Here is a 27846-nt window from a genome sequence, read left to right as displayed (position 1 = left end):
TCTGCAGCCTTGACCTCCTGGGCGCAAGAGATCCTCCCACCTCAACCTCCCAAGTAGCTGGGATGACAGGCCCATGCCACCATACCTGGCTAAATATATATATATATATTTATATATATCTCTACAAATATAGATGGGGTTTTTGCCAAATTGCCCACGCTGGCCTTGAACTTCTGGACTCAAGCGATCTGCCTGCCTCAGCCTCCCAAGTAGCTGGGACTACAGGCCCACACCACCACACCTAGCTAAATATTCAGACATATATATATAACATATATATTTATATTTATATATAAAATTATATATATATGGAGAGAGAGACAGGGTTTCACTAAGTTGCCCAGGCTGGTCTTGAGCTCCTGAACCCAAGCAATCTGCCTGCCTCAGCCTCCCAAAGTGCTCGGATTACAGGCATGAGCCACCATGCCTGGCCAGCAGCAGCTTTTATATGCATGATTATCTAATTTTATTCCTGCCTTTCCCAAGACGGCGTTACAATTTTTGTGGGTCCTGGAGAATTTTGCCTTCATGGACTTCTTCCTCCATAAAAATATTAAATGTTATAATTTAAAAATACTAAAATTGTGTTAAAAATTTGCATTGGCATAAAGATACTCATTTTTCTTGCACCTAAAATTTCATGTTTTCTTATATTTTAAAAGAAATTAAAACATCTTCATGGGATTCTAAAAATATTGTGGGCTTCGGGTACTGGGCCTTCTGTAACCATGAATTAAGTTGGCCCTGGTCTTTCTGTCTTTGTAACCGTAGTTCCCAGTCTGAGTACAATCAATATTCAATAAATTTTTGTTGAAGGAGGTTAATATTCTAGTCCAGCACACTCGAAAAGTTGTTTGACTATCAAATGGGAGAGGAGTTTCAGAAGCAATGTATAAACTGTGAGGTCTATGCAAATAAAATAAATTTGGGGCAGGGAAAGAGGTGTTAATTTGTGGAACAGAATTCAAGATTTCATCCAGAAGAGGAAGCACACCAGGCTGTGAGTATCGCTGATAGGGAAAGCAGCAGAACACCGAAGCAAATGTTTGCCTCCTTCAGTATTCTGCCAAGGCCTGGGCCTGCATGGTGCTCGCCCCTGGATTTGGACAGCTGTCAGGAAAATCAGCAGGAACCGGGAACAAACATATGTCGAGACACAGGCAACATCAGACTGTGAAAGCTGATCCGCCCGCCCAGCTCCACCAGATGGCAGTATGTCAACGGGGAGTCTGACGGAGCGTCTCCAATGGGCACCAATTAGATGACCTTGTGCTCATGCCAGAGCCGGGGAGCTGCTTGTTAAGATAATTGCTGATAATTTTTCTTCTCATTATCGAATGAGGATTTTTTTTTAATTAACAGCAAAGGATGCAAAATTGAGTATGTTATTGTACTCCTTGTCCACAATGAGGCTACAACCAAGATAGAGAGTTCAGACATGCAAAAAAAAAAAAACAAAACAAAACAAGAAAACCCAAAAAAACAAATAAACAAACAAAAAAGTAATGGATATTGATAATAGGTATTGATAGTCATTGTACACAAATTAATTCATCATCATCATCATCAATTACAAAATGCTACTGACGTTGAGTTTTCATTCAGCCGACCTTGGTGCATTTCTTCAAGTCTTGTAAATAGAAGTTAATTCATTGGTGGATGTAAATTGTGCAGACATGGTCTGTGATAATACTCACTCCAAGAGTCACCCAGGGCTGGAAAAGTGCTTCCGTGTCAGAGGCCACACCCTGCAGCCAAGCACAAGGTCCAGCCTTCCCTCAGCAGCTGAGGACTTGCAGACAATGCGTGCTTGCGTTCCAGCCACATCTTACTCACCCTGGAGGCTGCCAAGCAGCTATGAGAGCATGGGCCTTTCCATTAGGACACCTGTATTAGTTTCCTCAGGCTGCCATAACAACCTACCACAGATGGGGTGACAAACAACAGAACTTTATTTTCTCACAATTCTGGAGGCTGGAAGCCTGAGATCAAGGTGCCAGCAAGATTGGTTTCTTCTGAGACTTCTCTGTGTAGCATAGAGAGAGCCTCCATTCTGTGTCTTCGTGTGGTCTTCCTTCTGTGCTTGTCTGTAACCAATCTCCTCTTCCTATAATGACATCAGTCAGGTAAGATTGGGGTCCACCGTAATGACCTTATTTTAACTTAATTATTTTTATAAAACCCTATTTCCAAATAGAGTCACATTCTGAGATACTGGGGCTCGGGAGTTCAACACTAAATTTCGGAGGGACATAACTCAGTCCATAGGAGCACCCAAATTCTTGTCTTGGTTCCCCCACTTACTAGGTGGGTGAAATACTAACGTTAGGCAAGTCATTCACTGGGCCTCAGGCTTATTGGCTATAAAAACAAGGCTGTTGGATTATGTCATCTCTGTGGTCTAAAAATCTGTGATCACTACAATCAATACAAGGCTGAATTTTGCAAGACCAAGAGCAGGATGATTTCCAAGCCAGCCACAAAGGACAATTGTCTCCTTGCATGGATGTCAGCATGTATATGCACATACATGTTTCTATACACTCTTTAATCTGTAAAAACAGCTTTCATCGACTTACGAAGACCACCTTCCACACATGCCCATGCACTTAGTGCTTAAGGATAGTATCAGAACAAAGCATCATAAAAATGTATTTTCTCCAAGCAAGTTGGTCATTTTTCTTTTATTCCATCTTTGAAAGAAAACTGCAAGCAGAGAGTCTACTCCATTCTCTCTTTTGAGTCCTTGTCTATGTGGCTATTCTCTGCATGGATTTTCCACTTCTGCACTCACCCCTGCCCTATTTCCGCAGGACAAGCTGCTATACCAAGGCTCAACTCAAATGTCACCACCTCCATAAAACCTTCCCAACATTCCAGAAAGAGCTGTCTGCTCTTTTCACTACCTCCATAGCATATGGTATACTTTTCTATGATGATAAATAGAGCCAGACGGCAATGCTACCCAACCAGGCCTATGCAATTATTCTTCCTAAGTCTAATTTATTCACTTAGCAGGACTCCAGCAGCCACCATACTAAGCTTCACTGTTTAGGCTGACACAGTGTAACCAACCCAGACCTGGCCTCAGTAAGGAAGAGCCTTCAGTGATCACTCAGGGCTGCATGCTTTCTTGTCAGAGGCTAGCAGCGTATTATTTCTGAACATGCCAAGGAGATTAAAGGTAGGACAATATTCCCAAAGGCCCCTTCTGCCGAGAACACCGATGAGTAATGGGACCAGTACTACATTCGCTACCAGTCATCCAAGGAACAAAATGAAAAACACAGGGGTCTTATTCTACCCTCTTCCTGCTCTCTCCTCTCCCGCTGTGTACAGCAGATAGAGGTACCAAGAGAATAGCCAGAGACATAAAGCACACCCAGATACAAACCAGGCTACTCAATACACTCATCTTGGCTTTTTCTCTTGAGAGTCCTCCTCACCAGTCCTCCCCTCCAGTTGGAAATAGGCCCTACCAGTGGCTCACACCTGTAATCCCAGCACTTTGGGAGGCCAAGGTGAGTGGATGACTTGAGGTCAGGAGTTCAAGACCAGCCTGGCCGATATGGTGAAACCCCATCTCTACGAAAAATACAAAAATTAGCTGGGCATGGTGGCTCACCCCTGTAGTCCCAGCTACTTGAAGGGCTGAGGCAGGAGAACCTGGGAGGTGGAGGTTGCAATGAGCCGAGATCGCACCACTGTACTCTAGCCTGGACTACAGAGTGAGACTCTGTCTCAAAAAAAAGGAAAAGAAAAAGAAATAGGCCCTACCTCTGGGCTCCTTGTGGCCTTCACATTTCTCACAGAAGAGGCAGAGCCATGATTCAGCCAAGGTGTGTACATCTGTGAAAATTAGAGAAGGCCACACTGGAGCTCTGGAGGAGAGATGGAGGACTGTCTTCTAGCGTGGAAGACAAATTACCTGAACTTAAACACCGGAAGTCCAAGAACTAGGAGTAGAACATTCTCTAAGGGATTAACACTTGGCTAGCAACTAACTGTGTGACTGCAAGCAAAGCAAATCAGCAGCTTCTCTGGCTCTTTCATCTGCATAAAATAAGGGTTGAACTCCATGATCTGCAAGATATCTCCTCCAGCCATGGCAGCCTGATTCTACTAATCCATCCCAGGCAGGTTTTGCTGAAGAGAAATTTTCAAGAGAAAGGAGAGGGAAAGAGTGTTAGGGAATTACAGCCCAACAGCTTTCTCTTGATGAAAAGGGACCATTTAAATTCACAGCAAATTTTCCTACCAGCTGACTTGGAAAAGAAACATAGATGTGAAAACACATATTTATTTATATTTCAGCTTTTTGCTAGTGAAAATTCTTGTCTGTTTCAATTAAATTGAAAACTGAATTTGCTTAACTAGTGAATTTGCTTAATAGGCTGACCTGAGAGAATAAAAGATTAACAGATATCTCTAGATATATCACTTTTATTCTGAATTTAATCATACATTTTGCATAAGTGCAAATGTAAAACATTTTGAGATGAAATTCATAGAACAGAAGCATATTAAAATAAAATTAAAATGGAATCATTTTTCTTTGACAGCTAAATTCAGAAACTTGAGTCTTAGATTTAGTTCAGAAGCTGCCATTTCAAATAATTTTTAAGCATTGGACTATGGAAAGTCGAGGTAAAATTGTGAGTTAGAAAGGTTAACCTCCCACCCTTCACCTTTCCTGGCACCCATGCCATTTCTCTCAGCAACCTCCCTCTAAACCCCCCTCCAAGCATCCACGCCTCATTTTGCCCTTCATCTATGAGGGTTCCGCTCTTTTTTCCCATCTGTTCACCTATTGTCATTCCCAACCTAGCTTTGCTTTCCTCAAAACATCCAGTACCCAGCGATTTCTTCATCTACTTTCATCAAAAGTAGGCTGCCCTGTCCTCCATTTCTGGATGGCTACGTTCCTGAGAATCGGTGGTCAGCTGTGGTGGCCTCCTGGGAACCTAAGTGACCTTACAGGACACCAGGAGAGGCAGAAAGCACACAGCAAAGAGGGGATATGTCCTGGGCAGGCCATCCTGAAGCATGCAGGGCAACTCCTGGAGCTCACCTTAAAAGGCTTACGCTATGGTATGGCTCTGTGTCCCCACCCAAATCTCATCTCAAATTGTAATCCCCACATGTGGAGGAAGGGGCCTGTAATCCCCAGGTGTTGAGGGAGGGAGGTGATTGGATCATGGAGGCTGTTTCCCCCATGCTGTTCTCATGACAGTGAGTTCTCACGAGAGCTGATGGTTTTATAGGTGTCTGGCATTTCCCCTGCTTGCACTTCTCCCTCCTGCCACCATATGAAGAAGGTCCTTGCTTCCCCTTTGCCTTCCGCCACGGTTGTAAGTTTCCTGAGGCTTCCCCAGAATGCGGAACTATGAGCCAATTAAGCCTCTTTCCTTTATAAATTATCCAGTCTCAGGCAGTTCTTTATAGCAGTGTGAAAATGGACTAATACAGCTTAGTAATAATAGGAGTCATTTCAGGACAGTGCTCTGACATGGGCTCATTAGCACGAAGAAATGTTTAAAGAGAGCCATCAAGAAAATTTTGGGGTGGGATTGGGGAATGGGCAATGGGAAGAAGGTGACCAAAGTCTATCAGCTTCCAGTTGGATAGGAGGAATAGGTTTTCCAGATCTATTGCACAGCAAAATGGCCAAAGTTAATAATAAATGTATTGTATTTTTCAAAATTACTAAAATAATATATTTAAAATGTTCTCACTACAGAAAAATGAGAAGTATGTGAGGTGATGGCCATGTTAATTAGCTTGATACAAACTTTCCATAATGTACACAATATCAAACTATCACATTTTGCCCCAAAATACATAACATGATCATTTGTCAAGTACAATTTAAATTTAAATTAGAAATTATCAACTACGAGAAAAGTCAAGGAATTAGAAATGTTTAACATGGAAAATAAGAGACTTAGGAAAACAAGTATCACATGGGAAGACATAGCTGATTTTGTTGTTTTGACCCTAGAGGGTAAAGTAGGGAGAATGTTTAAAAGTTACAGAAAGGCAGATTTCAACTCTCCATAACAGGGGTCACCAACCCCTGGGTCAGACTGGTGCTGGTCTGTGGCCTGTTAGGACCTGGGCCACATAGCAGGAGGTGAGTGGTGAGCAAGCAAAGCTTCATCTGTATTTACAGCCACTCTCCATTGCTTGTGTTATCTCCTGAGTTCCACCTCCTGTCAGATCAGCGGTGGCATTAGATTCTCATAGGACAGCAAATCCTATCATGAACTGCACATGTAAAGGATCTAGGTTGCATGTTCCTTATGAGAATCTAACGCCTGATGATCTGTCATTGTCTCCCATCATCCCCAGATGGGACCATCTAGTTGCTGGAAAACAAGTTCAGGGCTCCCACTGATTCTACACTATGGTGGGTATGTAATAGTATGTAGTAGTAGAAATAAAGTGCACAATAAATGTAATGGGCTTGAATCCTCCTGAAACCATCCCCCACCACCCCCTGGTCTGTGGAAAAATTGTCTTCCATGAAACTGGTCCCTGGTGCCAAAAAGGTTAGAACCACTGCTCTATAAGAAAAGTCTCCCAAAATGTTAAAAGTGTCTATTAATGGAATCGGCTAGTCAATGGAATGGGTGGATCAAAAGCCTGCCCTTGGCCGGACACGGTGGCTCACGCCTGTAATCTCAGCACTTTGGGAGGCTGAGGCAGGCGGATCACGAGGTCAAGAGATCGAGACCATCCTGGCTAACACGGTGAAACCCCGTCTCTACTAAAAATACAAAAAATTAGCCATGCGTGGTGGCAGGTGCCTGTAGTCCCAGCTACTCATGAGGCTGAGGCAGGAGAATGGTGTGAACCTGGGAGGCGGAGCTTGCAGTGAGCCGAGATCGTGCCCCTGCAATCCAGCCTGGGAGACAGAGCGAGACTCTGTCTCAAAAAACAAAAAACAAAAAAACAAAAACAAACCAAAAAAAAAAAAACCCTGCCCTTTGCTGAAGATGATCAAGTAAAGGCTAACTAGTTACCTGGAGGAATTATTTTTGAAGAGGAAAATAATCCAATCATTATTGAACACTTTCTGTGGTCAAACAGGGGACTAGGCCCTGGAGACATAAAGCTAAACAGGTTGCAGTCTTAGACAGGAAAAAGATATCAACAGTTTACAAGAGTATGAATAACTTATATATCACTGGCCTCACCAGCCTATAACAACAAAATAAAACTAAACTTACTTTTTATATACTAAAATTATTTTAGCACAAACTCCTACCCGCTCTGCCCCCTCAACCCCCACCTAAATTCTAGAAATTAGCCTCCTATAAAGGATCTGCAATTATTTATCTGTCTCCTGGGGTAAAGCCTTCTTATCTGACCAACAGGGGAAAGAAGGAGCATAAGGACAGAAGGCAATGACAATCATGACAGAGCAAGCTGTAGAATTATAATCACGGCTGGGGGTAAGCCTGTTTTGGAATTTGGCGCAGGGTTGGAGGGAGGCTACTTCATGGGTGAGGTCGATCAGGAGAATTTGAGGGTGGCAAAACACGTTCAGAATTTAGGGGCTGAATGCATCGTTTTAACCTGGAACTGGGCATGGTACCTGAATATGAACCCTAAAGGACTTGATTTCCCCTAGAGAAGCGGGCCAAGAATGTTGGCATCGTGCGGGAGAAGCGTGGAAGTGAGAAAGGCACCTGTGCCTGTTAAGCTATGTATTAGACTGTTTTCAAGTCAAGAAGAGTGATTGATCTCTCTCCATAACCCCAAGTCCCTCCCTCTTTTTTTTTTTTTTTTTTTTTTTTGAGACAAAGTCTCGCTCTGTTGCCCAGGCTAGAATGCAGTGGCATGATCTTGGCTCACTGCAACCTCTGCCTCCCAGGTTCAAGTGAGTCTCCTGCCTCAGCCTCCTGAGTAGCTGGGATTACAGGCGCCTGCCACCACGCCCAGCTAATTTTGTATTTTTAGTAGAGATGGGGTTTCACCACGTTAGCCAGGCTGGTCTTGAACTCCCAGCCTCAGGTGATCTGCCCACCTCAGCCTCCCAAAGTGCTAGGATTACAGGCGTGAGCCACTGCACCCGGCCCCTGCCTCTTTTGTCTATTTGTTAGCAGCTAAACGAGCAGAAATGCACTAATGACTCCATTCTGCTAAGGAAGGTTATGGGAGGAGATGAAGAGAACAGGCCTCATTGGAAGGTACAAGACTAGTGAGGGCCAAACGCTGACAGCAGAAGAACTGGCCAGAGACCTCATCTGAAAGGCTGCTGCCATTTGAGGTTGCTTGGGCTCAGTTACTGGGGCAAGAGAACTGATTTTCAGAGGAAGCCTCTGGAGGCTTTTCTTTATGCATGAGCCCCAGAGCGTGGGTCCAGCCTGTGCTATCCATTCCAAGTTCATGACACTCCCTGGTGAACGGCATGTCATTACCTCTGGCCCTGTCTGCAACGTTCTTGCTGGTGTTTACTCACAGTCACTACTCAAACATGATCCTAAAAGGTCAGCGTTGACAGTGCGAGTGAATTTCCCTGCCAGTCCCAGCCCTGTCCCCAGGGCCAGGATCTGATCCAGGACAGATGGGATTCCTTCAGCAGAAGTGTCCCCGAGGTTCAGCTAGTGATCCTGAGGGGGATTTTATTTTACTGTTTGCAGCACAAACAGGATGCCACATACTTCAAGCACAACCGAATAACAAACCTCACGGAAATGCCAAGAAGTCCTTGCGGGGGGAAAACAGCCTTGATTCTGGAGAAAAGGAAAAATTGTAATAATGTTATTAGCCCAAAGAAACCGCTTAGAGACGTCAGATGATTTTCTAACCCAGAGAGATGAAAGTAAAACACCATGAACTAGACTGAATGCCAGAAGGAGGTCCCTTGCAATAGTCAATATTGCAACACGACTCTCCAGATGGCTCTCTCTGGGGCAAGCGGACTCTGTCGGAGAAGGAAGTGGGTAGGAGGGAGAGGGAGAGAGGCCACATTCACACCAGGCAAGGAAAGGGAAATGAGCATTTAATTTTAAACTATCCTCATGGGCTCCCCACTGCTCGAGCCCACCAGAGAACAGAGAGAAGGAAAATAGTCGCATTGTGCACTGTGTATGTGTGTGTTCTTCTCTCTCCAGCTCTGTTTATACAGTTCACACATGTTACTTCAGGGCAGTGTATTCCAGAGGGGGTCCTACCGATCGCTGCTTCTTCGAGATGTTAAACTGTGTTATCAACAGTGGAGGGGGGCAGAGATGTCCTGTGATCAAACTAGTTCCGAAACACTGCATTTATCAAATATTGACATGTTTTTCTACTCTAGCGCTTCCAGGCTCTTTTAGCCTTCTCCTGTACAGTGTGACTTTCCAAAAAGGGAAATATGTGGTATTTCCCAAATTTATTGGTTTTATTATTATTATTTTTTTAATAGAGATGAGATCTCACTATGTTGTCCAGGCTGGCCTGGAACTCCTGGGCTCAAGCAATCCTCCTGCATAGGCTGGGACCACAGGCCCTCACAACCACAACTGGCTTAGACGTTTCCCAAATTTAGGTAAAAGGATACTTCTCTCATGAACTGTTTTCTGGACTTAGTGTTCCAGCAAATCTACCTTTTATGGAACCTGTCATTCGGCCTTAAGATCATTCTCATATTTGTCTTTTCCTTCTAATGTCGCCCTCGCTACCCTAGTCCCAGCAGCTGCCTCCTGCCTGGCTGGCCAGCTCAGGATCTTCAACCTGAATTCTATTCTGTATGCTACTGACATATTACCCAGTCGCTCTCCTCTCTCTGCCTTTGAGATACCACAAAATCTGCACTCATATACCTCTGCTCTTGTCCCAAAATAAGAATGACCACTTCTTGAGTACTAGCTATTTTAAGCACTTTACTTGTATTACCTCGTTCAGTGTTTTCCACAACCTCATGCAGTAAGTGCATTCCTTTAAAATTATACAAATAAGAAAACAGAGATATAGAGATAGATGTTCAGTAACTTGCCCAAGGTTACATGGCTAATCAGCGGCACAGCCATGGTATGCACCTGGGCGTTCTGGCTGGAGAACTAAGACTCACTTGTAGCTCCCACCTGCGTGCCTCTGCAGATCAGCCCCTGCAATCCACCTGCCTCATCTCTACTTTCCAGGCCTTGCTGACGAAGCGTCCCCAGCCTGGAACGCCATCTCTCTGGTGCCTCATTTACTGCAAATGCAGGGTTAGCCCGGGCAAGGCTGGAAGGCTTAGCAAGTCCTGTTGAGGAGTTTGGACTCTGTCCTGAGGACAACTGGGAGCCTTTAGCAGATTTAGGAAGATGTGTGACAGGATTAGATTAGAAAGAGTGCAGAATAGATTGGTTTAAATTTGACAAAATCAGAGAAGGGTAAAGGATAATAATGAAGGCTAACACAAATAGACCTAAATGAATAAGTTTAATTCTCACAAAAACCTATCAGAGGCCAGGCATTGTGCTCATGCCTGTAATCCCAGTGCTTTGGGAGGCCCAGGTGGGAGGATTACTTGAGGTCAGGGGTTTGAGTTTGAGACCAGCCTGGGCAACATGGTGAGACCCCTTCTCTACAAAAAAAAAAAAAAAAAAAAAAAGCTCTATAAGGTTTATACACTGCTCTTGTCATCCCCATTTTCCAAATGAGGAAACTAAGCAGCAGAGAGGTTAAGAGCTCATCCAAAGTTAACCTGTCTAGAAAGCAATCTGAGCTGAAGCCATTTGCTTCTAAGGTGATCCTCTCTTAATATTTCTAAAGTGAGCATTACTGCTTCTCCTGAGTGTTTTTTCACTATTCTCTAAACTTTCATCTGTGCTCGGAATATTCCAAAATTGTTTTAAAATGGTCTGGGAGGGGACAGATTAGATGCAGCGAAGGTGTGAGGCGGCTGTTGCAGGGGAGCCCTCATGGTGTCCTGAATGTGGGCAGAGGCCGGGAGGACACAGACAAGTGGACAGATTTGAGAAGGGTCCAGAAGGAGACCCCGCAGGGACTGGTGCTGAATAAGGTGTGAGGAGTAAGGAAGAAAGACAACCCCAAAACCAGTCCAGTGTTCAGTTTGGAAAACTGGGTGCTACTCCAGGTTTCCATTGCTTTATGTGGGATTAGCACAGCAGCCTTCTGGATGGGCCACCTGGCTCCCAGTACTTCAACCTAAACTCCATTCTGCAGACTACTAATAGCCTTCTCTTTACCAGAAGGGCAGAAACTGTCATGGGAGCTGTTTAAGGAGAAATTACTTGCTTAAAGCAAATGAAAAGTCAACTAGGAATATTTACAAAACATCTCATTTTTTTTTTTTTTAAACAGAAACCTAATTACCAGGAGGCATATGTTATATGTCAGGCACAGAGCTAGGAATCAGACATAATACATAAAGTACATCAAAATATATTGATCAAAAAAATCTGTTCCACTGATAGCCTGGAAGATCAGTGAGAGACAATGTTGCCTACCTATGATTAGAAAGGGAAAGGAGTCCTCTCTGCCCCAAAATATCCCCCTGTGGATATTTGCAATCCATCATTAGAGATTCCATAGAACCTCCAAATAAGAGATCTTGGAACTGACATATTCAAACATTCTAGTATTTCTTTCGAGAAAACTGGACTGTGAGAGGTTAAGTGATTTGTCCAGCATTACCCAGGTTGCGGCTGGTCCCCGGTCTAGGGTCCCCGAATTCCCCCTGATATTCTTTCGAATCTTCTTTGATAATTGAAATATGGGAGGGAAGGCGAGGCAATACTTTGGCATCCCTAAGGCCTTGGAGTGACAGTCCTACGACCTCCTAAGAGGCTTTCCTCTGTTACCAAAAAGAATTGCACAGGAAGCTTTGCTGAAGAGGCCACTGACATTTTACTGTAAGAATTTCTTTCTTCACTGCAGGCAGCTAGGATAGTGCTTCCTGGTTTCTCTCCAGGTTGCAAAGAGACATTGTCCTCAGGGACACTTTTGGTGCCTCTCCTCACCCATTTAAACATCCGGGGGCCAGCTACTGCCTTTGCCCAGAGCAGATGGGCCCCAAGTTACTGAATCACAAAACTTTAGCCAGAGCAATCTCTATCTAGTCCAGCTCCCTGCCTTGAGATCAGATTTTATTATCCCAAATTTTGCACATAAGGGCCTGAATCCCAGAGAGTTTAACCAACTTGCCCAAGGTCATAGAGCTAGTAATTAGAACAGTCACTTAAGGCTATTACCTACTTAGAATCCTAGTGGCTGAAAGTGATCTGAGAAATACAGTGACCATATTTTCAGAACCCAAAACTAGGACATTTAGCCTGACAAACCCAAGTACATTTACAGGGACAGTGAACAGATTATGTGAATTGGTCCTCTCCCAGAAAAGGGGATTTATGGCTGTGAATGTTAGAGATCATACAGTCCAATCCCCTCATTTCATAGTTGAGGCAACTGAAGCCCAAGGAGCCTGAGTGACTTGCTGGAGGTCGTAGGCAGAAATGTTTTCTGTTTTCCCAACTCTGAAGGTTGAGTCAACAGGGCGTGGGTGGGAGAGGACAAAAAGGGGCCATTGATCCAGGGCGCCTTCCCTCACACGGACTGACCTAACCCCACAGTGCCTGCTTTAATCCCGTATGGGTGCGGCTGTCCCCTAAACACCAGAGAAATAACATATGAAACCAGATAAAGCTCAGGGTCTTCAGCTCTTGCAGGCCTGGGCAGCTAAGGAAAAGGAATTTGGAGACCTAAAGTACTTTTTCTTCAGAAGCATAGCACTCTGTGGTAAGTAGCTGTAGTTTTCTAAGGTTTTCTTTTTTCCCCCAGAAATAGGATGCTAAAATGACAAGATATAAGCTAATTACCCTCCTGGCATTCTAAATTCTAGTGTAAATCAAGGCAAAATGTCAAACAGGCAGGTATTTTAAAAGGATCTGCATAAGCCCTGTAATGAGCTCGGCACCATAAATGTTTATTATTAAGCCTTCAATTTGCTTCTGACCCCTACTTCATGCACCGTTTGACCTCATTTTATATTTAGTAAGAGGAAAGAAGGCAGCATAAAGAATCAGCTCCAGGGCTCAGGGCAAGTCCATTTCCAGCCAGTGCCTTTGGCCTTGAAGCCCCCAATCTCTACATCAATACTCCTTCCCAATATTAAAAAGTGCTCTTCATGGTGTCCTTTTAACACTGCGGCTATCCAAATTAGGACTCGAAGGAGCAGGTGGAATCCTTCCAACTGCCAGCCTAACCTCTCCTCTATGCCAATGCAGAACTACTCTGCTGATAGAGAAATTGCTTCCCGGAAAACCAATTTCCTCCTTATTGTCCTGCAGGCTGCTGTGAGACACCCTGTTGGGTGGGGTGGGCTCCTGGCCTGTTTATTCCACCAAGAGAGTGAAATTGCAAAGAACATGTTGCTGGGGCCGAGATTTAGAAGACATGTTTGAATGGGAGTTGTGTTCCTGAGCTCCCAGTTTAGACATTTTTTTCCTGATGCATATTTTCCATTGATCTAATTGCTTTGCATCCGCCGAGGGATGAGAGCTAGCGTTCTCAAAGCCTCGCTGCCCACGATACACCCACTATTATTAAGGTCCAACAATTATTTCATTCATTGCTTCGTTCATTCATTTCCTCTAAATTTGTTTCTAAAGAACTGTAACCTGCCATTCAAGCTCACTATTCCACTGGCAAAGAGTCCAGATAGGCAGTGAATGGCCAGCCTCTACAAAGTGCTCCCAACATGCTGTCCAAATTGGAGCACTTTTCTATGCCCCGCTCCACCCAACCTTCAATCCTGCCTTGGAGGAGAGCAAGTGACAGTGAACTTGAGAAGAGCTAATAAAAACCTGATCTCCCTGATAGCATCTTCTTTAATTATTTAAAGAAAGGGACAGCCTGTTTAAAAACACTTCCTGTTCCAGTTCTTTTGTTAAAACTCTCTTAGAGTCAGTGACAGGTTTTAGAGCTGAGAGTAGGAAGGGCTGGCATTGTTGAGAGAGTATGCAGAAAAGATGCTTTTAGATAGAAAAAGAAGGACGATGCAAAACACCCTTTGATTGAAGAAAGTTATGCACACATTTTCTTTTCCAACCAAAAATATCAGAAAAGACAGCTTACATATTAAAGAGTCGATTTCAGAAGGCCAAGAGAAGGGTCAAGTTTAACTTGCTCTTACCTGTGAATACAGCAGAATGAGTGCAGGATTTCAAGTCAGATCTGAGAACTGCGTCTATCACTCAGTAGTTGTGTGACCTAGGACAAGCTATTTAACTGGCCTAGCCTTCAGTTTCCTCATCTGTAAGACAGACATAATCACAGCTACCCTATCAAGGTAATTCGAGGATGAAATAGGGGTTGCGGGGAGGCATGCAAGAGCTTAGCAAAGACCTAGTACTTAGTGAATACACAACACCTGTGATCTTAAAACAACTAGGGCACTGAATGAATTGAGACGAAAGAAAGGCAATAGGAGTAACTACCCGGACTGCTCCAACATGGTTTCTGGTGGATTTATTTCCCTGCTGGACTTTATTCCCTGGAATATACATTTCAATTCCTCACACACATTTAATGAATAGGTACTTAATTAGGATTAGACACTGCACTCATTGGAACCACTGGGTCTTTTTGTTTTGTTTGCTCGTTTGTTTTTTGAGACAGGGTCTCACTCTGCTGCCTAGGCTGGAGCACAGTGGCTAATCGCAGGTGTGATCATGGCGCACTGGGCTCAAGGGATCCTGCTGCCTCAGCCTCCTGAGTAGCTGGGATTACAGGTGTGTACCACCATGCCCAGCTCTCTGGGTCTTTCAATCAGAGATCACAAAAGAAAGTTTAGATGGAAGCTGGACACTAGGAGAGAGACACAAAAGGTGTAGGTAGAGCTATGGTGTCTGCTCGGACTCTTTCTTAGTAAATGTGGGGCCTTTGGGAATCAGTTTCTGTTCCTTTTTTGGAAGAGGAATTATGGAGCAGAGAGAATACAGAGCCAATAGAAATGGATCTGTCTTAGTTCATTTATGCTACTATAACAAAATACCTGAGACTGGGTAGTTTACAAACAACAGAAACTTATTTCTCACAGTATGGAAGGCTGGGTGGTGAAAGATCAAGGTGCCAGCAGGCCCAGTGTCTTGGTCTCTGCTGGTCCTCATACGGTGGGAAGGCAGAAGGGCAAAAAGGGCTAGTTCCCTCCAGCCCTTTAATAAGGAATGAATCCAGTCCATGAGGTCAGAGCTGCCATGGCCTAATCACCTCCTCAAGGCCCCACCTCTCAATACTGTTGCATTAGGGATTGAGTTTTCACGTGAATTTTGGAGGGAACACAAACTTTCAAACCACAGCAGGGTCCGAAATGAGAAATCGGTAATAGGAAAATAAACAAGGAGAAGGGAGAAACAGAAGTATGCTACTCAGCCTAACCACCAGCTTCCTCTTGTGAGTATCCACCCTTGTCTGTTTCCTGGCTCTAGCATATGCATTGGACTAATCTCAGCAATATTTACAAAGCACTTACCTGGGCAAGGCAACGTCTAGGTATTGTGGAAAAGAACAGGATGATTCATTTTCTTTAGTAACACTTGCACAGAGCTCACTGTGTGCTAGGCACCTTTCTAAGGACCTTATAAATATTAACTAGGTTAATATTCAAAACAACTCAGTGAGATGGGTATTTTATTACCCCTAATTTACCAACGAGGAAACTGAAGTATGATCATAATAGCTACTTTTTAGTAAGTATCTAAAATGTGGGCAGGGCTTCAGTGGTTTTTTTTTTTTTTTTTTGAGACAGGGTCTCGCTCTGTCACCCAGGCTGGAGTGCAGTGGCGTGATCTCGGCTCACTGCAAGCTCCACCTCCCGGGTTCACGCCCTTCTCCTGCTTCAGCCTCCCGAGTAGCTGGGACTACAGGTGCCTGTCACCCACCTGGCTAATTTTTTTTGTATTTTTAGTAGAGACGGGGTTTCGCCGTGTTAGCCAGGATGGTCTCGATCTCCTGACCTCATGATCTGCCCGCCTCAGCCTCCCAAAGTGCTGGGATTACAGGCGTGAGCCACTGTGCCCAGCCTCAATGTTTCTTCAATGTAGTCCTCAGAGCCCTATAAAATAAGGTTAGTATTGCTTGTATTTTACAGAGGAAGAAACTGAAGCTCGTTAAGCTTAGGTGACTTGTTAACAGCCATGCAGACACTAAGCAGTGGAACTCCACTGCATCACACCAACTCCTGGATCTCCAAGTCACAGTCACTATCTTCAGGAAGCTGAGATGAGACATGGGATAACCACGCCTTATAGACAGATGCAAATGCCCAGCAAGAAGTTCCTAAGTCCTATCCTTCCTCCCCACTCCCATCGCCACAAGCGTCTGGGATTGAAGCTCCCCGTCTTGCTGTGGGTGGAACAGAATAATCAGACTTTCAGAAAAACTTACAGAAAAACTGAAGTGAGACCCCCACCCTCCAAACGTGGCCTCAGGCCTGGAGGTTTAAAGACAGACTCAGGTTTTATTCTGTTACTGCCACCTTCTTAACCCCTGCCCTCAGCTGCTCATGCCCCAGCCTTTCTCTGCCCTTACTCTTCCTTTATCTCCAAGTCTACGTGATTGAAAAATAATCATCCCTGGAAAGGAAAGAAAGGGGTCTCAATGAGACAAGAGAGGGAGGAGGTGAAGGGTGGCTGAGTAAGTGGGGAGGTGGAGGCCCCAGGGGGGAGCTCAGAGGCCTCATTCCCCCGGAAGCCCACCCTAGGCAGAGGGGCCATGGCTCAGGCTGTGCAGGGCAAACAGCAGCATGGCTTCCAGAACCTGTGCTGGGGATTTGCACTGGCAGGTGCCTTCTCCAGGGTCAGGAAATTCTGCAGCTCCAGGGCAAAGGGGATGGAAGCTGGGAAGAGCCTGTGAGTTGAATGCTGGTCCGACCTCTCCCCACTCTCTTCCCCTCAACACAGGAGCCAGAAGCCCAGTGTTGTGGCCCAAATTGCTTTGAAGTCCTGCCCTTTGTCCTCTTCTTCCTGAACAGATCCGTCTTCCTGGGGCAGGACATGCATTCCTCACACCATCCTTTTTGAAGGGGGTGAGGTAAACCTGGCCGAGCCGGTTAGTGCTGGGGTGGAGCCCAGCGACGGCCCTGATCCGGAGCCTCTGTTACCTGGGGCAGCAGAAGCGAATGAGAGGACAGCTGTAAATCATGTCTGGCCTGCTGATGACATTCTCCTCTCTCAGCTAAAGGACTGAGGATGGTCCAGCCCCTTGAGTGACTCTGGGCAGGGCTGCGAGAGGGAGCCCCCTAGCCAGTGCTTGGGGAGGAGGAATTCAGATCCTGGGAAAAACAGCAAGCAGCAGCAGGTGTGGAGTAAGCTGGGAGTGACCCATCTGGGACAACTGCCTAGAATAAACACTATTGTCTGCCACAGGCTTTTCTCTGCCAGCCTGGGCCTGCTGAGCTGACCGTGTTTGAAGGGCCAGTCGTGGGCTAAGCTAGGCAAGCTGAGATCAGTCCTGCAGGAACCTGAGGTCATCACAGGATGTGAAGACAGAGGGCAGGAGCTTGTGGGACCAGGAATGAGCGAGGAGATGGAAAGGAAGTCTCAAGGGAGTGAAGACCCAGGAGGAAGGCTGGAACAAGGCTGGGCAACATTCGTTCTTACCAAAGGCTAACTTCCTGGTGTCATCTTGGATGGTCCAGTTTAAAAGAACAAGACCTGACCAGATACTGCAGAGCCTCTCTCCAGACATCGGGGCTGGCTTCAGTCACACCCACTCTCTTCCACTGTCTTAGCCCCTGGGATGCACACGTTCATGCAGCCACCCCTGCTCCATCTGTCCCTGTGACCCTCTGATTTTCACCCACCTCCTGGTGCTATTCTTCTCTATCACAGGAAACTTGCATCCTTCTATTATTATCTTCACTGTTCAGAAACCCAACAAAATTTTAACCACATGAAAATCCACATTATACCCTCATTCTACCCAAAGTGATGTAATTCACCTTGTCCTTCGGAGATGGGGGGAGACTTACAACCTCATTCTCTCGTCTACCTTTAGACACTGAGCTTTAGGAAACTGTTACCTGGAGGAAAGGCCCATTGTGGAGGGTACCGTGGTGACCCAAAAACAGCCCTGGAGGAAACATGCCATCCAGAGCAGGCTAGGACCCACTGATGGGTGTCCTGGGAAAATGGCCCCACTCCACTCCCCACCCTGGGACCTCTGTGAGGTATTTTAATTCAGGAATGATTAGCACAGATCTCTAGCAAAGCTCTTTCTTGACCACAGCCAGAGTTAGGTAAGAATGCAGCCACAGGGAAGAAGGGAGCAGCAGGCAGAGTCTCTGGCAGCCACCAAATTGAAGCTCTTACTTCTTCTCCTCCAATCGTCTCTCGTGGAACCTAGGCCATCTATTTTCATTTGGGAACAAAGAAAGCAAAAGAAAGGAGGGGGAGGGAGAGGGGAAGGGGGAAGGGGAAGGGAAACGAAGGGGAGGGGGTGGGGGAGGGGGAAGGGGAAGGGGAAGAGGAAGGGGAAAGAGAGGGGGAGGGGAAGGAAAGGAAGGCAGGGAGGGGAGGGGAAGGGGAGGGAAAGGACCGGAAGGAAATTGGGGAAGAATAAAAAGGTGCAAGACAGTGGTCATGGAGCGCCCCCTAACTATAACGTGTCCACATTTTCTCAAGTTGCTGCTTTCATCTGAGAGTTAGACAGTTATAGATGAATGAGGAACAGGGACTAAATACAGCCAAGAAAAAGGAAGTGGAAGGGAGAATCATGGCTGAAGCAGTGGGGGTACATTTCCTTTTACTTATTTCCCAGGCAAAGGCCAATTGGTACAAGTCTCCATGATTGCCTTTTGTTCATGTATTAGGAAATGTGTATTACTTGCTCTGCTGTCCTAGTGTTTCAGGTTTTTATTTGTATTTCTTCACATAATGTGAATAACACATAGGCCAAGAGAGCCTGAATGCATGTTTGTGACTTCCTGGAAGGCAAGGGCCCACCTGCCCAGCCTAATACATTGCACACAAGCAATTAATAAACATTTCCAACTTGAAGACTTTTCATTGCTCCCTGAGCTCCTGTAATTTGGTTCCACAGTAGCCTCTGTTATGACATTCCTTGGCTGCTGCTCAAAATCACCATTGCTGTGTGTAATTGGAAGGCCAGTGACAGAAGGAGTAATAGTTTCCTCATTAAGCCTTGTGGTGTCTCCTCACCTACCGAGGCAGGGTACTTCCAGCACAGGGGTGGCTCCTCTGTTGTTCAGGAACAAGCAACCTCAGAGTTGTTGACAGAAGTTCCAACAGCAGCAGCCTCCTAAAGGCCCCGCGTGCTCATTATTGTACTAAAGTATTGCACTAAAAGGGGAAAACTAAATATGGTGTCTGGTGCCCAAAAAGGCTCTTGGAAAAGTTTTTGCTGCCAGAAATGGGTCTTTCCTTGAGGATAGACTCAGCCAATCAGAGTTTTTTCTGATGATGTAATGCTTTGCAAACAAATTGTATTGGTGGGAAAGCTCTTAGTTAATTGTGAGGTGTAGAGTTTCCACTGTAGCTCAGGAAAAATTGTCTGTGGCTTCATTTAAGTTTCGACTGAATTCCATTGTGCTTCTATTTCCAACCAAGCTGAACTTGTGTCTGACACTTGTTAAAAAATTGGGAATCAAGAAACTTTCTTTTCCTCTGATGTCGAAAGCTGCTGATTCCTTGTCTAAGATGTGTCCGTTTAAAAAACAAAAAACCAAAGCTAGCTGCTGATTAATCAATGTCTGCTATGTGCCGTTGTCATCATCTCACAGCTGTACTTATCGTCAGCAGAGGCCCTAGGAAGCTGACCAGCAGAGCATCAGTACGCAACAGCGGGTAGGAAATGATGCCCCGACAGGTTAGGCTGTAGAAAAAAAGAATCTTTGGGGTGGAAAAGAAGTTAGAGCGCAGGCTACACATGCCTGTGTTTCCATCTGATGAATTCGCATGCACGCGCTTGCCATAAGTCCGCTACGCACAGCCATGCAGCACTAAATATAGCTCAGAGCTTATTTCCCTCCTTCAGAATGTGTCGTCCCCAGCTCTAGAGCTTTTCCTCCCCCAGACAGAGCCCCTGCTGTCTGCCAGTCTGGGCTGGAATTAGCACACCGCCGCTGCGTAACTGGGTGTCTCTGCTGCTGGAGGCTGATTCGGGTGCAGGCGGCTATACCTGCAGTTGTGTTCCTTGGTTACCTGCGTCCAGGAGCCTAGGCCACCCACCCTTCACCACATATGCAAAGGATGTCATCGCCTGATTCACTGTCTCTGTTATTTCAGACAGCAGGCTGTTCCTGTCCCCACCACCCCTCCGCCACACCACAGCCTTTCTCTCTGGATCATCCGCCACACCCTCTCCTCATCCCGGAAACCTCAGGCCGGCTCCACCTTGCTTCAAATCCTCCCGTCTCTGCAGTCGATTCCTTTTTCTCAGCTTTTATCTTTGCCACTCTTCCCAAATATGGGACACTTAAGTATGGCTGACTCAAACTGTGTCAGTGACTCACAAATATGTTTCTGTATTTCATTCTATGTACCACCTATGTTTCTTCCCTCCGCTCCCCACCGCAGCCTAGAAGAAAGAGCGCTGGGCTTGAATCCAAATGCAATGTCCTGGGAATCAAAATTGGGATAGTAAAACTTCTACTGCAGGGATTTTGTAAGATAAAATAAGATAATATATACCTGGCACATAGTAGGAGCTTCATAAAGATTGGTTGAATCTGCCCTGGCATATAAACTCTTTAGACATTCTCCTTCCCTTATGTACAATGTACATACTTTTCCATTTCCCCAGCACCCAGTCCCTCTGAGAATAGGGACATGTATCAGTGCCAATTGACATACCTTAATTTTTAGTGCACCTTTTTGGATCAGGAATCCTTAGCAAATGGGTAATTTTAGGCATCAACAAATTACAATGACAATGAAATAACCTCATAGGTTGGGAGGGGAAGTGGGAGCTACTTTCAGTGAGATATTCAAGGCCGACACAGGCAAAACTGCACGGGGCACACTGCGATGCCATTACTTGTCACTATAAAGAAACTTTCTTCACCTATTTCCTCTTACTCCTCTGGTCTGTTCTTACTTTCAGCTGACATTCAGCTAATTAATTCCTACAGGGGTGTTAACGGATAAGGCAGTTCTGATAGGGTGTCAGCCGATAATGGCCCTAAGGGCCCAGCCTGACTTGTTTTGCCAGGCCTCCTATCACATCTGAAAAGCAGCCTCCAAAAGATGGAAACCCTTTGCAGGCCCACAGGAAATGTTTTCCTTGGGATCAGAAAGGATCAGAAAGGAATGGGAGTCAGGCAGTGCTGTTCACCGCTAAGGCCAGTGATGATGTGGCTTGAAGGCAGAGAGGGGTTTCTTGGGCTGGAAAGGTAGGCAAGACCTCGGCTCCTAACCACCCCACCTTTCCCATCCTCACCTCACTAGCATCTTTTTTTTTTTTTGAGACAGAGTTTCGCTCTTGTTGCCCAGGCTGGAGTGCAACGGCGGGATATCGGCTCACTGCAACCTCCACATCCTGGGTTCAAGTGATTCTCCTGTCTCAGCCTCCTGAGTAGCTGGGATTACAGGCGCCCGCCACTATGCCTGGCTACTTTTTGGTATTTTTTAGTAGAGACAGGGTTTCACCATGCTGGCCAGGCTGGTCTCAAACTCCTGACCCCAGGTGATCTGCCTGCCATGGCCTCCCAAAGTGCTGGTGTGTCCAGAATTTATTCATTCCAGTGGGTTCTTGGTCTCGCTGACTTCAAGAATGAAGCTGCGGACACTCACGGTGAGTGTTACAGTTCTTAAAGATGGCGTGTCCAGAGTTTGTTCCTTCTGATGTTCAGATGTGTCTGGAGTTTCTTCCTTCTAGTGGGTTCATGGTCTCGCTGAATTCAGGAGTGAAGCCACAGACTTTTGCAGTGAGTGTTACAGCTCTTAAAGGTGGCACGTCCGGAGTTGTTTGCTCCTCCTGGTGGGTTCCTGGTCTCGCTGACTTAAGGAGTGAAGCTACAGACCTTCGCAGTGCGTGTTACAGCTCATAAAGGTAGTGCGGAGGAAAGAGTGAGCAGCAGCAAGATTTATTCTGAAGAGCAAAAGAACAAAGTTTCCACAGGCTTGAAGGGGACCCCAGCACATTGCCGCTGCTGGCTCGCTTATTTGGCCCCACCCACATCTTGCTGATCGGTCCATTTTACAGAGTGCTAATTGGTCCATTTTACAGAGTGCTGATTAGTCCATTTTACAGAGTGCTGATTGGTGCATTTACAATCCTTTAGCTAGACACAGAGCGCTGATTGGTGCATTTTTACAGTGCTGATTGGTGCATTTACTATCCTTTAGCCAGACACAGAGCACTGATTGGTGCGTTTTTACAGAGTGCTGATTGGTGCATTTACAATCCTGTAGCTAGACACAGAGCGCTGATTGGTACGTTTTTACAGAGTGCTGATTGGTGCATTTACAATCCTTTAGCTAGACAGAAAAGTTCTCCAAGTCCCCACCTGACCCAGAAGTCCAGCTGGCTTCACCTCTCACTGGGATTACAGGCGTGAGCCACCGCACCTGGCCGGCATATCTTAATCTGCTGCCAGGGGGCCAAACGACAGGGACACAGGTGATGGGCTATTCACAGCATCCCAACGACCTCAGTTCTCAGCAGCTTCTGGAAGGGAAACTTTTCAAACTCTGACCCTTCCAGACAACCCCCATCTTCCACCTTCCTCCTTGAGTATCAGACAAGGGCAGCTTTTGTGAAAGACACACTGGTCTTGCTGTGCACAGCTCTCATTTTGCTGGCTGGGTACTTTGCATAATCCTGAGAGTGAGCAACCCCTAAAGCTTACACCCTAGACACCTCGTTTGTCTCACCCCAATCCCAGCTCTGCAAAGTTGCTAGATGGGGAGATATATACATGCAATCTCATTTTTCATTGCTTCGGGATATTTAAGGCACATTCCTAATCACTTTATTTGAGCTGCAGTGAAGCCATATTAGAATTTGGAATCTTTGACTCCTATTCTAGAGTTTTCCCTCCATACTAATGCTCCCAGAGGCACTGAAACCCAGCATCCATACACAAACGATGCATTTAGCTACAACGGTAAAAAGTTCACACTTTTTTCTAAAAGTTCTCTGTGTTTTGAAACACATTTCAAGGAGGCAAAACATGGGGTTTTGAGTTTTCACCCAAGGGGCCCAATACCTTGGTGATATAGTTTGGATGTTTGTTCTCTCCAATATCATGTTGAAATGTGATCCCCACTGTTCGAGGCGGGGCCTGGTGGGAGGTGTTTGGATCATGGAGGCAGATCCTCATGAATGGCTTGGGGACATCCTCCTGGTAATGAGTTACTTCTTGCTCTATGAGTACACGTGAGATCTGGTTGTTTAAAAGAGCCTGGAAGGCCGAGGTGGGCAGATCACAAGGTCAGGAGATTGAGACCATGGTGAAACCTCTACTAAAAATACAAAAAATTAGCCGGGCGTGGTAGCGGATACCTGTAGTCCCAGCTACTTGGGAGGCTGAGGCAGGAGAATGGTGTGAACCCAGGAGGCAGAGCTTGCAGTGAGCCAAGATCGCACCACTGCACTCCAGCCTGGGCAACAGAGCGAGACTCCGTCTCAAAAAAAAAAAAAAAAAAGAGCCTGGAACTTCCTCCCTCTCTCTCTTGCTCTCCCTTTTGCCATGTGACACACAGGCTCCCCTTCACCTTCCAACATAATTGGAAGCTTCCTGAGGCCTCACCAGAAGCAGATGGTGACATGATGCTTTGTGTACAGCCTGCAGAACCATGAGCCAAATAAGTCTCTTTTCTTTATAAATTACTCTCTCTCAGGTATTCAGTGGAATAGCTGATATTTATAGCAATGGAAACCGACTAACACACTTGGCTAATCTAGGTGTTTCCCCCATCCTATTTCTCTGCGTCACTAACTAACGTTACCTGTGCACCTGAACACTGCTTTTCCCAGTAGAAAAGGGCAGGTGGGCGAGCCGTGTACCTGTTTATGAGGCTGTCTTAGGAAAGCCTTTCTCAAATGATGTGCAAGTTCTGTTAGCAGTTCCGCATCCAGCCTCACCAAACCTGCTTTGCTTCAGGCACTGATGCCTTCAATCCATAGGCTCAACACTACATTCTCAAGCTAGTGCAGACCAAGTTAGGCAAGAGAAAAATTGTAGGTCTTTCTGTCCTAGTCTTGGCGTTCACTTTCTCAGAGGTGAGGCCCCAGGCAACCACATATCCCCAAGGCTACAGTCTCCTTCCCTTCTTCCTACGTGCTTAAAATGACTATTTTCCTCGTTTTCATACCAGTTCTACTTCTGGAGCGCCACCTGTTGTGAAGCCCTGTCCTTTAGTGGGGCCCCAATCACAGTATCTCTTGCTAGATCCTTCTTTCGAGGGGCTGGACTTTGCTCTCGCCACCCCCAGCCCCCTTGCTGAGATCCTGATTCATCCATTCCTATCATCTGGAATACCTGCTGCCTCCCTGATGTCAACCATCTTCAGCATGTCTCCACTGCCTGTCCCCAGTTTATGTCTGGATTTATGCCCAGTTCAGCCGGGGATTTTCCATGCAGCGCTGCTCCCTAGTTTAGACTGTGGGCTCTTTCTGTGGGCCATGGTACTGCTGGGGTGCTTTCTGTTGGCTGTCTTACCCCATGATCATTTAAATCAAACTGACTACACATCACAGCCTGCTGTTTCTTGAGAAAAAAATTGCTCGAATCCCACTTCCATCCACACCCTACATTCTTGGCTATCTATTCTGACTGTAATTCCTGCCTTTGGCACTGCCCAAATCTGGCAGTCTTCCTTTCTCCGTCCTCTTTGGACCTTGGCTCTCCTCCCCACTTTCTGGCTGGTTCACCGTTCTTCCTGGTATTCTCACTGTCTCAGGGGAGAGGTCTGTATCATGCTTCCTGGCCCCTCAGAAATCCTCATTTCTTCTTCTGGTCAGCCCTTGTCATGTCTCAGTCCTCGGTCTTCCATCTTCTAACTCCCACTATGGTTTGAAACCTACTTTTGTGCATTAACAGGAGCATGATGCATGGGTAGGTTGCTTAACTTAAAGAGTCAGGAGGGAGAAGAGGGCAACTTTTAGTTTTGGCCTCATCTCAGCCCAATTTCCTCCTCCTTCCTCATGGACAAGTCCATTTTTGACTATTTAAAAACCTGTAGCGGCCAGGATCAGTGGCTCATGCCTGTAATTGCAGCACTTTGGGAGACCGAGGCAGGTGGATCACCTGTGGTTAGGAGTTCAAGACCAGCCTGGCCAACATGGTGAAACCCCGTCTCTACTAAAAATACAAAATTAGCCTTGCATGGTGGTGCACACCTGTAATCCCAGCTACTTGGGAGGCTGAGACAGGAGAATCACTTGAACCCGGGAGGCCAAGGTTGCAGTGAGCCGAGATCGCGCCATTGCACTCCAGCCTGGGCAAAAAGAGTGAAACGCCATCTTAGAATAAATAAATAAAAACCTGTAGCAAATATGCAACCATATATTCAGTTATATGCATATTTAAAAAAATGAACCCTAAACCCAACTATTTGCTTATCCTCCCATAAATTTAATTTTTGGTTGAGAAAACATAATCACTGAAGGTGTATGTGGCAGAGACTGTGCAATCGAATCCTGTACACGTCCTCCAATGTCCCAGCAGCCTCCCTTGCAGTTAGGTGATGTAAACTATGGCTGTAAGTATCTTCTTCATCCCTCTCTCCCGCTGCAGTGACCTTGATAGCTACAAGTGGAGATGGATCTTTGAGCTATCAGATGGAAGGCTGTCTCTGCAGACCCACACTGGATTCTACATAAATAAGAAGTATAAGTGTAACTTCGTTGTGCTAAGTCACTGAGCTTTTCGGATTTGTTTGTTATTGCAGCATAGCTTAACATTGCTCTGACTAATGCCATATACAAACCTTAAACATGTGCAAGGGTTTATTTCTTCATCTGCCCACACCCAAGAATTGCTTTCCTAAAAACTTAAAATGTATATAAATTATATGTGTTTATTATGGAAAATTATGAAATACAAATAAACAGAAAAGAAGAAAGTAAAAATCATCTATAATCCTCTTGGTCAGAGTTATCTACTGTTAACATTTTCATGTCTACACATCATGTTTTTTCTATGTATATAGAAATATAAATTTATGTATATATGCACATAAACTTATATGTGTGTTTACATATTATTGTAGAACCTACTTTTTTTTGAGAGAGGAAGAGAGCGTCTCTCTCTGTCACCCAGGCTGGAGTGTAATAGAGTGAGCACAGCTCACTGCAGCTTCGACTGTCTGGTCTCAAGCAATCTTCCCGCCTCAGCCTCTTGAGTAGCTGAGATAGCTGAGACTACAGGCATGCACCACCATACCCGGCTAATTTTTGTATTTTTTGTAGAGATGGGGTCTTGCCATGTTGCCAAGGCAACTTCTGGGCTCAAGCTGTCCGCCCGCCTCGGCCTCCCAGAGTGCTGGGATTACAGGCGTGAGCCACTGCGCCTGGCCACAACCTACTTTTTTATTTGACAAAATATTCTGTTAATTTTCTCAAAGCAATAAATACTATTCTAGAACTCAATTTTTTTAATTTTTTTTTCTGAGACAGAGTCTTGCTCTGTCGGCCAGGCTAGAGTGCAGTGGTGCGATTTCACTGTAACCTCCCCCTCCCGGGTTCAAGCAATTCTCCTGCCTCAGCCTCCTGAGTAGGTAGGATTACAGGCTTATGCCACACATGCCAGGCTAATTTTTGTATTTTTAGTAGAGACAGGGTTTCACCATGTTGGCCGGGCTGGTCTAGAACTCCTGACCTCATGATCCACCCGCCTCAGCCTCCCAACATGCTGGGATTACAGGTGTGAGCCACCGCGCCCAGCCTAGAACACAATTGTTAATCATTGCATAGCACTGCATTATGACAGCACCATGATTTATATACTGTTAGACAGTCTACTATTTTCTTCTACTGAAATTGCTGCAGTAACATTTCTACTTCTTTTCTACATATTTTATCACTTACTTCCTCTCCTACTCACAGACCAACTCTTAATCATCGACATTCATAGAATGCAAATGAGGTAATCCAAAAATAATAAAAATGTTCATGAAATTCACAGTGTGATCATTTGGATGGGGAAGGAAGAGGCAAAGTTTTTGCAGTGCATTCATCCTCATAATCGTAATGACGATTATCAAATTTTGGGTTTCATTCTGTGTAGTAATAACTGACTTGGCGGTTGCAAAGGAGATGGTACAGTAGGTAACAATAGGAAGCTGCTTTAATTAGCATTCCATGAGGCTGCAAGAAACAAAAACAACAATGAACTCAAACTTATAGTAGCTTAAACAAAGACAGAAGCTTATTTCACTCTCAGATAAAAGTCTGGAGATAGACATCCCCATATCGCACTCCCTGGGGTATCAGAGACTCAAGCTTCTCCTACTTATTCCCTGTGGATTTTTTCCATTCCCAAGGTCACTGAGCAAGATCTGAAATGATTGCTCTAACTTAAACCATCACATCTATATTCCACCCAGAGTAGAGGATGTAAAGAAAGACGAAGAGAATGTCTCTTCTAAAACGCATTTTTTTGGAGGTTGAACATACCAAGTCTAGTTAGACACTTGGCCATATGTGGGTCCAAGGGAGGCTGGGAAATGTTGTCTTTATTCTGAGTGTCCCTGTGCCCAGATAAAAATTGGGGATGCTGGGCCGGGCGTGGTGGCTCACGCCTGTGATGCCAGAACTTTGGGAGACCGAGGCAGGTGGATCACTTGAGATCAGGAGTTTGAGACCAGCCTGACCAAGATGGTGAAAGCCCTTCTCTACTAAAAATACAAAATGAGCTGGGCATGGTGGTACACGCTTGTAATCCCA

General features: G+C 45.5%; 1 long non-coding RNA gene across 1 annotated transcript, besides 2 other annotated features; it reads left to right on the top strand.

The window, feature by feature from the left end:
* The first annotated feature begins 1988 nt into the window (after positions 1-1988).
* LOC105369572 (uncharacterized) lies at positions 1989-25879 on the top strand. Its single transcript, XR_948175.2, has 3 exons — positions 1989-2126; positions 7380-7457; positions 25697-25879. It is a non-coding gene; the product is annotated as an uncharacterized LOC105369572 (long non-coding RNA).
* Positions 17019-17524: an enhancer, noted in NCBI's record as "H3K4me1 hESC enhancer chr11:129185575-129186080 (GRCh37/hg19 assembly coordinates)". NCBI's record gives its function as "activates a minimal SCP1, AML or CMV promoter by ChIP-STARR-seq in naive H9 embryonic stem cells {active_cell/tissue: H9 hESC(naive)}" and the evidence as "EXISTENCE:reporter gene assay evidence [ECO:0000049][PMID:30033119]".
* Positions 17116-17410: a silencer, noted in NCBI's record as "tiled region #8920; HepG2 Repressive non-DNase unmatched - State 4:PromP, and K562 Repressive non-DNase unmatched - State 24:Quies". NCBI's record gives its function as "represses a minimal TATA promoter and a strong SV40 promoter by Sharpr-MPRA in HepG2 and K562 cells {active_cell/tissue: HepG2 | K562}" and the evidence as "EXISTENCE:reporter gene assay evidence [ECO:0000049][PMID:27701403]".
* Positions 25880-27846: the final 1967 nt, after the last annotated feature.

This window comes from Homo sapiens, chromosome 11 (genome assembly GCF_000001405.40).
Source record: "Homo sapiens chromosome 11, GRCh38.p14 Primary Assembly".
NCBI classification, from domain to species: domain Eukaryota; kingdom Metazoa; phylum Chordata; class Mammalia; order Primates; family Hominidae; genus Homo; species Homo sapiens.
The sequence above is the reverse complement of the archived record's forward strand: the minus strand, read 5'-3'. Positions and strand labels throughout refer to the sequence as shown.